Below are 12,222 nucleotides of genomic sequence, written 5' to 3'. Positions count from 1 at the left end.
GGAGAAAAATGGATGACCGGGTAATTCTATACTTTGCAGTCAATTTTTGCTGTTTTCCTTTTGTTCCCCTCCTTCTACACACACACACACACACACACACACACACACCAAAAATTTGGTCATCTGAGAGTTACATTAAAAAGAAGTCAGATATCTTGAACTTCGAGGGTTAATTTCCTGCAGTAGCACCCACTGGTTCCACAAACTCATTGATGTTCCCTGCCAACACTTGATAGCACAACGCTTTGACCTGAAGTTCCCTTCTATTCATTTCGTCTCTGGATGCACTGTGGCCATTTCCCTCCTCCTGGGCTTCCCCTGTGGCCAAGTGGATGGAGTCAGGGGGACAAATGAAAACACATGTGCTATACAAAAGCACTATTTATAATTAGCTGCTTAGTCCAATTTTTAATGAGGACGATGATGTCAGTTACAAAGTAGTGATGGTGATGATGATGTTCCATAATTCAGTAGAGAAAAATCTAACAGCTTTCGCTTGGGTGAAGCTGTATATTAGAAAAGAAATGCATTAGACATCTGTGCCACACCAATCAACAGCCTCAGGAAATTACTATCCATGCCAAGAAATAAATCTATAACGAACTCCTTATCCTTTCGGGGAGGATCCCAAGAGAGCTTGTTAGTATCCTAAGTTTGCAGCCTACATCTTCATCCAATTCTCCTCCTGTGATAGTCATTAATGCTGTTTTCCAAATGTCTCCAGCTCTCTACTTTTCAGGAACATGGAGAATTTTACTGTCTCACTCACTTGTGGCTGTGTGGTACCAGGCAAGTAGTTCTGGACAGTGAGTTATAAGCAGAAGTGGTATGTGTCACTTCTGAACCAAAATATTTAATTCCTCATGGGAAAGCCCCCAGAGCTTTCTTCACGCCAGCCACAATGACCAGCTTTGTTCAAGATGGTGGCTGCTCTGTCAGAGTGAGCTGCATTACAGGGTAAGGTGGCAGGAAGCTTGGCCCCCAGCCGAAGCAATAGTAGCATAAGTGAGAAACAAACCCTTATTGCTCTAATCCTCTGGTATTCAGGGATTGATTTCTTCCCATAGCAGAATCAAGTCTACCCAAACTGAAGTAAGAAGCTGCCAAAAGTAAAAAGTTAAAACCTGTGACATGGCCAGGCATGGTGGCTCACACCTGTAATCCCAGCACTTTGGGAGGCCGTGGTGGGCAGATCACAAGGTCAAGAGATCGAGACTATCCCAGCCAACATGGTGAAACCCAATTTCTAAAAATACAAAAATTAGCTGGGTGTGGTGGTACACACTTGTTGTCCCAGCTACACAGGAGGCTAAGGCAGGAGAATCGCTTGAACCTGGGAGGCGGAGGTTGCAGTGAGCTGAGATTGCACCACGGCACTCCAGCCTGGCAACAGAGTGAGACTCCGTCTCAAAAAAATAAATAAATAAAATTTTAAAAATTAAAAAAATACTTGTGACATTGGTTCTGTGGCCAGATGACAGGTATTGAAGAAATTTTATAGGAGGCCATTGCAGGCAATCCATGTTACAAATGGAAAAATATTCTGAAAACTGTCATCTGTGATAACTTAGAAAGCAGATTATATCCCTAAAATCCTGCATATCTAGGAAGATGGTTGAAAAACAGCTTGTTATATTGTATGGTGGCCACTGCTGGCTGCATCTGACAATGTAGTGCAAGATATTGATGAGTTCAGAAAAGATTTGGCCAGAAAGCAGAGATGAAATGGACAGGAGAGAGTCCAGAAATGTGGGGATTTTCAGTGTAGACAGAGACAGCTGCTTCTCATTCCCCAAAGAAGTAAACAAAACTTAAAAGACCTTTATACAAGAAAGACTGATGAGTGCTTCAGCTCATGCCATGGAACAAATCAAGCACAGGGCAGTCATGTCCATTGTCAGTTCCTCTGAATGGAATAAGTCATTTAGGGCAAAAGTTTAATTGAAGTTATGGCTTCAAAAAATCATTCAAACTGGGCAAACTGGCTCAAGTAAGAGCGAGAGAAAAAACAAGACTAAAGCTGTAACATCCCACAAATAATATATATACCCAAATTATTGCTGTTAGGTTCAAGTTGAGAAGAACCATGGCTCCCCCAGGCAAAATACACTTACCTACTCCCTAAGGAAGATAACCCCAAAGTCCTACCCAGTCCTGGTATCAAGCTGAAATGCTAGGTTCTCTAGCAGTGCGTAGTAGTTTTTATATTAAGGAGTGACATGTGCTAGTCTCTACATCAGTTTTGAATATGGATTTCTGCAATTCAGAGACTTAAAAACCCAAAAGACAAATTATCTGCCTCTATCCCATAGCACGACATACAATGGCTCCTTTAGAATAGGATAACAACTGTAACCATAGGTGTGGTTATTGGCTATCAGTACATAGATCTGCCCGAAACACATAGGAAAAAGCCTAAGAAGATTTTCAGACAGTCATCCTGCCAAAGGAACCATGACCTGAACGAAACCATTCACGACTTTTCAAAATGTAATGTACCGTTGGGCCCCTAAATTATCATGGACAAGAAGCCGGCCAAGAAAGCTGCTCAATATCATCTGCAATTCCCATCTCTGATAGGAGCAAGGAGGGCAACAGAAAGAAGACCCTCCAGAGGGACAATCCATAAGCAGAGAACGGTGGGCTGGGATCTACTCCCAGGCAGCTAAGTGAGGGTCGAATTGTGTTTCACAGGATTTCAGAGTCGTTATGGACCAGTGACTGCTGTGCTTCCCTAGTCTTCCCCCTTTCTGAATGAGAATATTGATTGCAGTTGTCCTACTTCAAATGAATCTTTTCTTGTCTTGTGGGAAAGAAACGATTACTTATCTTTTTGGAGCCTAAGTCTCAGAAAGGAAAGGATCCACATTCACACCTGATGTGGAGACTAGAACATGCCGCTCCCTAAGGTGAAAACTGCCCTGTTACACACCACAAGAGACCCTAGCATTTCAGCTTGATACCAGGACTGGGTAGGACTTTTAGGCTGTCTTCCTTAGGCAGTAAGTAAGTGGATTTTGCCTGGGGGAGACAAACATTTTGTGACCCTAATGGCAGGCAATGGTAGTCATTGCTGCTATTTGACAAACATTTCCAGCTTGTTCACCTCCTGGGTACATGGTAAGATTGTGTCTTTCTTGGTTTTCATGTGATTGAGTGAGAGTCATGTGACTAGTTCTAGCTGATAAGTTGTGCCATGTGTCATATCTGGCCTGCAGCACTTAATTGCCAATGCTCTCTTCCTCTGCCATAATGATCCATAGCACTTGAGAAGGTAGCAACCCCATCAGCCTACAACCCAGATTGAAAGACATAGACCAGAACCCTAGGAATGCCAGGGATGGCTATGTAGTCTGAGCAGTAAATAGTCCTTTGCTATAATCCACTAAGCTTTGTGGGCTGTTTGTTACTGCAGCATAACCCTGTCTCTCCTGACCAATATGCCTACTTGCATTCCTGCTTGGAAGATAAATACAATACAGAGATCATTAATATTCTATTTTCTATGCCTAGAAGAAGAGAATTGAACATGGATCATGAAATTAATTTCAAAAGCCTAACTTTGGCCAACTTTTTCATTCTTACTATTGCTTACTTCTCCTCCTACCACAGCTTTCTACAGAGATCTTCACTTTGTTTATATTAAACTGGTCTGAATTTTTGCTCTTCCTTGTCCATTTTCTGACCTAACTCTACCACTGAAATGATAGCAACCTGTTGTCTAACTCTGGTGTCCTATCTGCATCTCCAATGGGGTCATGGACAGTAGCTAAGTCTTTATGATAAAATGTTGTAACTTTCTTCTGTTTACTAACTTTTCAATAAATATTGACTAAAGATAGTAATAGCTAATGATAAGCATTTTTTGAATGCATACTGCATTCCAAGCACTTTGCTAAGAGGTATGAGGTAGAAGCTTTTCCTAGCCTCCTTTTAAAAATGAGAAAACAGAAGGACAGGAAGTTTAATTTACCAGCTCACAGAGCTAGTGGGTACCTGAGCAGGCTTCAAATGCAGCCATTCTACAAAAAAAAAAAAAATTGTTTTAAGTTATCCAGGCATGGTGGCACATGCCTGTAGTCCCACCCTGGGAAACTGAGGCAGGAGGATGACTTGAACCGAGGAGTTGGAGGCTGCAGTGGGGCTATGATCATGCCACTATACCCTAGCCTGGGTGACACGGTGAGACCCTTCAAAAAATGCGCTCAGTCTTGAGTCCAGAGCCCATGTGGGGAGCTCTCTTTCTTCATGTTCCCAAACTGTGTTCTACACAATTCTAGTTCTCACCATGTTGATAGATATTTACACAGACAAGGCACTCCACCCTGTAGCCTTGTGGTTAGGATTCCAAACTGCCGTGATCTGGGTTCCACTCCCGATCAAAGAACCAGCCACCTAGAGATGTAAATTCTTTAACTCAGAAGAAAAAGAAATTAGTTTGATAAAAAATTGATTTGATATTTATAAACACCCACCCCAATGAAGGGAGTTTAGGAATCTTACACTTTGTCTCAGAGAGCCTCACAATAGACATTAGAATAGTAAAGCCTCTGATACATCCCTTAACATTATGTAACCCAATGTTTCCCAGATGTATTTAACCACAAAACCCTATTCTCACCAAGCCTCACATTCGGAGGCACTTGTGTATTATAGAACATAAGAACATAAGATCATAGAAATCAAGCACTAAGGAGGGATGGTGAACCTCATCTCAAACAACTGCATGATTTTGCTGATGCCAGAATCAGAGTATAAAGTGAGCAAATGACTTTTCCATAGTCTTAATGGCTACAATGACTGAAATCTAGATCTCTTAATTCCCTGTTCAGCAGGATTACTCTACCCCAAAAGGTCATAAATAGCAAATTCTCCCAGGACAAAGCGGCAGGTCAGAGAGAATCACAAGTTTCTCATAGACTCCAAGGATCCTGAGGACAAAGACCCTGTTATTATACCTTCTCCCCCTGGCCTAGCACAATGTCCTTCACAAAGCAGGTGCTCGATAAATGTAAGTTAATGAGTAACAATGAGGGACAGAAGGAGGATCAAGCAACCAAGAAGAAGAGACAAAGGACCAGGTGGCTTATGTGCAGAGAGCACTTGTTACTAAGCAGGTGATATAAGGAATGACACAGGTCCAAAAGGATCTCTCTTCAGCTGCAACACCATCCCCTCTCAAGGCACTGATGGAGTAGAAGCAAATTCTATGCAGCTGCGCATGTGTGCATGAGAGAGAGAGAGGGGAGAGAAAGAGAGAGAAAGAGAGGGAGAAAGAGGGAGAGACAGAATGTGTGTGTGTGTATGTGTGTAGAAGGGAGGAGTGGGTTGATGGAAGGAGAGCTGGACAAGACACACAAAGCCACGTTCAATTGCAGGAATTGCCCCAAATAGCAGGCACAAAGGGAAGGAATACCAAATGCCAGTCCATGGAAGAACAAAAAAGCCATGACTTTCAGGGCATGTTCTGTAAAAATGAGGAAAATATTTTCCTGCCTCTTCTACCACTGGAAGGAAGCATAAGTTCTTTGAATATGATCTCCAAGAGATTGATCTTAAGCCTTTGGCACAGTTAACGAAATTGTAGTTTTAAAATTCATATCTATTGCTTATTTTGGTAGATGTGGAATCCATGGGGTAAAAAGGTATTTTTAGTTCTGAAAACAAACTAAAGGACTTTATGGTTAAGAATGGTCAAGACTAGGATATGGTTCGTGATGGAGACCTTAAGGCAAAGGAAGTTAAATTGCTTTGCATCAAAAAAAATGATTTTCAGTTTTCTCCCAGAGTCAGACATTTGGAAAAGCCTATGGTTGAAAAAGAGAAGAAATTAGAGAAGACTAAATATCTGTTGAATAGGACAGGTCCCCGAAAGAAGATGGGAAGGCAAGGTCTCAAAGACATTACTTGTGAGGCACTATTCCTGGTGGGATGCAGAGACTGGAACAGGGATGTCTGATGTCCACTTTTAGGCTGTTCTCTATTCGGGGCTCAAGTTCCCCTTCCAGTCTGGGAGAAGGAAAGGAAATTGCTTCAGGAAAGGAGGAAAGGGGAGGTTAGGGAAGATCCTAACAGAAAAGGAAGACCCCGCTAGGTCCACTGGCTCACCTTTCCCCCTTTGATGCAATTAGATGGGAGCAGTGTGGTGAGCTGGACAGGCTGGTTGCCTGTTTCCACCCGAAGCATTCATGTCACCCCTGTGAGCACATTCCAGGCAGGTAGCCGCTGCTCCTTGCCTAGTGAGTCTATGTTGTATGTATTTGGGCCTCAAAGATTCTGTTTCCCTTCCTGAGGAGCAAAGGGTGTGATTTTAATGTTCTGGTTCTCCTGCTTTACAGATGTAATGAAATAGCTGGGGCTAAATAATGCAAAACTCCTGGTCCACTGATGGTAACGTCTCTCTTTTTTTAACTACAGTCTCTAATTCACTCAAAGGAACAAATTATGTTTTATGGCCTTTTATAAAATATTCATCCCCTCCTCCTCCAGCACTCTCAGTGGTTCAGGAAGCCTGGAAATGGCCCTGTGTAAGGAGGATCTCATTTCCTCCCAGACACAAATTACAGAGGCTGCCAGACTCCTGATAACAGAGAGGGGTGATGCTGCTGCGATGGGCTGAGAGCACGGACTCCACATAGACCTGCTGGGACGTTTGGGGATTGGGGCCAGCAGCGATGTGAGGCAAGTGAGCAAGTGAAGGGGACCTGTCTTGCCCTTCTTTGGAGCATGTCCATTGCATCCATTTCTTTTTGTAGGTGAAAGCCCGGCCCAAGCCCTTCACAGTCCACCTTCTCCCACGCATCCTCCTCTCTGATATTTGGGTGTTGTTTCCAGCCAAACCCAGGTTTAGGAAACAGTGCAGTAGCCAGAGTCCAGGGAAGGGGAGGATCAGTTTGTGGAGGGTGGGGTGGGAGAGGTTTCAGGGAGAAGAGGGTGAGGTGATGGCTGTTGAAGAGAAGGGAGATTCTCAAATGTACTCCCACTTGCTGTTCATTTACATGTCCCATCCAAATGACCAAGGGACACAGGAATGTAACAACATGAATAATGATCTTCCTGTTTGGGTGTTTTACAGTTTACAAGGAATGTCCACATCTGGAGCCTTGAACACTAACGCTGGAGTCAAAAGCCTGACTTGCGAGCCTGGCCAGGCTGCTGATTCACCTGTGTCACCTCGTTTTCCTGGGCCTCAGTTTCCCCTCTTGCACAGAGAGGGGCTTAGACCAGAGGACTGAGGTCCAATGTAAGTTTTAATCCTGGTTCTATAAGCCTCAGAGCCTGGATGTGTGCTGCCAATTCTAGGCTTATACCATTTCTGAGGGTCTCTGGGCATCTGCCTACTGATTGGTAGAAAGAACCACATTTTACGAAGAACAACAGTGGGAGCAACTCCCTGATGACAGCAGTTTTCCCCTAATTCCTGTCTGGCCTGATACTGCAACAGCAGACATCACAACCAGGCTCTTCCTCCGGGCAGGAGTGGGCTTTATGCACCCCTCCCCGCTGAGCCGGGCCTGATTCTCAGAGGGGACGCGGGGGAGGAAAAGTGCTACCAGCTGCGTTCTACACAGCACAGAGGCATAGAGAGGGAGGACGCAAACACACTCATCATTTCGGTGCTATTTCCCCTCATTTCCCTCTATTCTAAAGTATTCCTGTACCATTCTATATTGGGAAGTGCCATTTCTGAGGATAAGATGAAGGATGGCAGAAGCTGAAGGATCTTATACTAACAGCCAAAATATGGAGAGGTAAAAATTACAGTGGAGGACATTTCCAACTGATTTGTCATCGAAAAATCTCAAAGTACTCTGTATCTACCATTTATTCCCAGAACCCATTAATCAGAAAAGCCTGTATCAATTCATGCAGGCCTTTTATATCATCCTAGTATGCAGGTAAGAATCTGTGAGCCCTGAGCACCTCAGGCTTTATTAACTGCAAAATACACGGAATTCTCCACCCATTTCAGAGATGACTTGAGCAATATTTATGCATGTGGAGAGAATAAAAAGAAGGCTCCTTGAGAGGACTGCCTCTCCTACCCTCACTCTTTCTTGTCATAATTGCCTTCTTTCTTTTGACCATACATACGGCAGACTTGAGAACAATCTGTTCATTTATTTGATAAATACGTATTAAGCATCTTCTGTGCACCAGGTACAGTGTTAGGCCCTGGGTATAGAGTGGGGAACAAAAGAGTCATGGCCTCCGCCCTCAAGGACTGTCTATCTAGTCATACGTACACACACACACACATACATACATTCATATCACTCCTTCCACGTTGTGATGGTTAATACCAAGTGTCAACTTGATTGGACTGAAAGATGGAAAGTATTGATCCTGGGTGTGTCTGTAAGGATGTTGCCAAGGGACATTAACATTTGAGTCAGTAGACTAGGAAAGGCAGACCCACCCTCAATCTGGGCGGGCACCATCCAATCAGCTGCCAGCGCAGCTAGAATATAAAGCAGGCAGAAAAAAAATGTGAAAAGACTAGAGTGGCTTAGCCTCCCAGCCTACATCTTTCTTCCATACTGGATGCTTCCTGCCCTCGAATATTGGACTCCAAGTTCTTTAGCTTTGGGACTCGGACTGGCTTCCTTGTTCCTCAGCTTGCAGACAGCCTATTGTGGAAACTTGTGATCATGTAAGTTAATACTACTTAATAAACTCTCATATCTATCTATATATCCTATATATATATAAAATAGGATATATATATATAAAATAGGATATATATCCTATTATTTCTGTCCCTCTAGAGAACTCTAAGTGATATGCAGGTACATATATATATGGGGAGAGAGAGAGAGAGAGACAGTCCCCAAACAGTCCCCAGCTGTTTCAGTGTTCAGCCATTCAATCCATCCCAGCTGAGGATTCAGACATCATAAAGCGATACAGAACGTTCCCACTATGACTTAATTCCTGAATCACAGATTTGTGAATATAATAATAATAAATTGTTGTTTTAAGCCACTATGTGTTGGGTATGTTGTTATGCGGCAATAGATAACTGGTCCCCTCAGAGAAGTCAAGAACTTGCAGAAAGTCACTCAAATAATAAGTTACGGAGTGGAGATTCAAACCCAGCTGAGCAGTTATAATGAGCAGCCTCCCAGGGAGTGAATACAATGTGAGAGCTCAGAGCAGCCCAATGCTTATCCTACCCATCTGCTTTCCTGAATGCAGAACTAACCTTCTGTGGCTTCCTTTTTCTTTAAACACACACACACACACACAAATGCACACACACATACATGCGCACACACATACATGTGCAAGCATATACACACACATATTCATGCAGATGTACATGGGCATTGTATTACACTATCTCCTCACCCGATGGGCATTCTTACAGGAAAAGGATGTGCATGCAGCCTCTCCCTTGGGGGAGAAGGCATGTGCTTGTCAACTCAAAGGGTCAGCAGACCTTCAGGAGGCCAGGTCTGGCGCATGTAGGCCATGCTATAGCCGTGCTCTGAAGCCCAGAGAATCCAACATAAGGTTCCAATTCGAATTCCATTTCCATGAAAAAACTTCCAGCCTAATCCTCTGGTCCTTCCCAAAGCCAAGAAGGGGCCTTGCTCTAGGGAAGTGCCCCACATCCCCACAAGACAGGTTCTTACTCCCTGGTCAGAAACAGGGAGACCAGGAATGGATAAGTGAGTGCAAGTGGAGGGCTGACCCAATGCTGTCCAGAAATTCTGCAGTTGGCAGTCCCAAATTTGTCAGCTCAGGGATAGGCAGAGGAAGGAGCAAAGCCACATTTTGGGCACAGGAAAGGGAAGTTGCCATTTTTAACCCCTTCTGTGTGTCCAGATTCCATTTCCCACAGCTGCTTAGGGGAAGGTCAAACCACGTGAGCATCCTGGATTCCCTTCACGCCATGGATAGACTGGGAGGGAGCAAAGGGGACTTGAGCCCCAGATTGTAAAAGGAAACATAAAGAGGAGTGTTGAGTAATTTATAAGGTCAGGGACAATGTCATATTCATCACAACAGCCCCATTACCTAACTTGGGTGCCAGGTAGATAATAGATAATCTATGTTTGTTGAATTAATGGAAAAAATGATCCCCATACAACCACCTTGATGTCAAGGTCCTGAAATATTTCAGGAAGTGGCCGGATTGCTCCCAGAATCATGACCATCATCTTCTGAGGAAGAGTGGACACTAAAAGAGTGGGGCTCTCTTGCCCATTGGTAGAGCTCAAGCTGCTGGAAGATTATGTGGAAAGAGCATAGGCTATTGCCCCAGATGTCACCTATCAGCGCGTTACCCTGAGCATGCTCCTTAACCTCTCTGAGTCTCATTTTTAAATGAAGTTATTTTTTTTCCAAATTAACAGGAAAATATTTGAAATATTTCTCACTAAGCATGTACTTCAAAAGTGTTTTGTTCCTTTCCCTTCATCTTGGTTTGCCACCTCTTCAGGTATAAAAATCTTTGACTCTACATTATCTCCGTTCCTTCTCTTCCTTTCCACCCTCTTGCCCTTGCAGTCTGGCATACCTGACAGCTCAGGCTTGCAGATATACTTTGGGACCTGAGCCTCCACTGGAGTGCATCTGAGGTACTGACCAGAAATATCTCAAAGGGGTTTTAAGGAAAACTATCAAAGACTTTGAGATACAGCAGCTTGGGTTTAAATCATATCTCCTTCGCTATAGACAAGTTACTTAACTAATATGGGCTTCCAATTTCTCATCCATTAAAAAAGGGAGTTACAGTGGCATCCTCACCAGCATTATTACAGGGTTGCCACCTTAGGATCTGCCAGGCTGTGCCCTGCACAGGGCAGCTGGTGAGCATGAGGCTGCAATGGGGCCCACACTGCATACCCTACACCGTTGTGTCCCAGTTCAAGGCTCTTTGCTCCCGGAGGAAGGGGTGCTTTGTTCTGATTTGCATGAAGGTATTCTATAGGCAAAAGGTGGCTCTGGAATAGTATGAGAATAAAGTGGGATAAAACAAGAACATCACTTACCCTCATGCATAATAGGAGGAAGCTTTAAAAATATACCCCAAATCTGATTACTTTTTCTCACCACGTTACTGCCGCTCTGGAAGTCTCTTGATTAGTCTCCTGCCAGCAGTGTGCTGCAGCTGACTCATGATGGCTCACAAGAGCTGACTGCTTATATTTTCAGGGCTTTGAAGAGTCCATTGTCGAATTGTTGGTAGTTTGAAACTGGCCATGGTGGGAGCATTTACACCACAGGAATTAGCAGGCATTACAAACCAAGGCCTTTTTCCCCACCTAGAGAGCTGGTTTACCTGCATACCACTCACTTCACCCCCAGCAGACAATTCTCCATGCACAGGCAGAGTGATTTAAACAAACAAACAAACAAAAAAAACACATAAATCCACATGCGTCATTTGCCTGCGTCAAAGACACCTCATTGCACTAAGTATCAAGTCTAAACTCCCAGCCTGGGTCCATACCAGCCCCATGGAATTGGGCTAGTACCTCCCTCTGAGTCCTCATTGACTGACACTTCTCTCCCCTCCTCAGCTTCAGCCATGCTGGCCTTTGGGGAGTTCCTGGACATGGAAAGCTCTCTGTGGCTTCAACCCCTTTTACACTTGTGTCTTCAGCCTGGAGCACTCTTCCTCCAATATACTTGCATCACTTGCTCCCTCACTTCTTTCTGGTCTCCACTTAAATGTCATGTCTTTGGAGAAGCCCTCCCTGATCACTCCATCTAAATAGCATAACCCACCTATCCTCTGCTGCTGTTTTATTCTTCCTCACAGCACTTATCACCCTGCTATAATGTATATTTATTTGCTAACAGCTTTATTGAGATGCAATTCACATACCAGACATTTTGCCCATTTAAAGTATGAAGTTCAATGTTTTTCAACGCATGTGAAGAGTTGTGCAACCTTCACCACAATCTTAGAACATTTTCATCACCTCCAAAAGAAATCCCTTTAGCCCTCACCCACAAAAGCTCCCCCAAACCACCCTCCCCATTTCCCACCAGCCCTAAGCAATAACTTGTTTCTTTCTCTATAGATTTGCCTATTCTGGATGTTTCATATAAATGGAATCACACTATACATGGTCTTTTGTGACTGGTTTTTTTCACTTACTATGATGTTTTCAAGTGTCGTGCCTACTATAGCATGTATCGATATTTCATTCCTTTTCATTGTCAAATAATATTCCATTGTATGGATATGCCACATTTTACTTACCC

This window comes from Homo sapiens, chromosome 12 (genome assembly GCF_000001405.40).
Source record: "Homo sapiens chromosome 12, GRCh38.p14 Primary Assembly".
Lineage (NCBI taxonomy): Eukaryota > Metazoa > Chordata > Mammalia > Primates > Hominidae > Homo > Homo sapiens.
Note: the sequence above shows the minus strand (reverse complement) of the source record.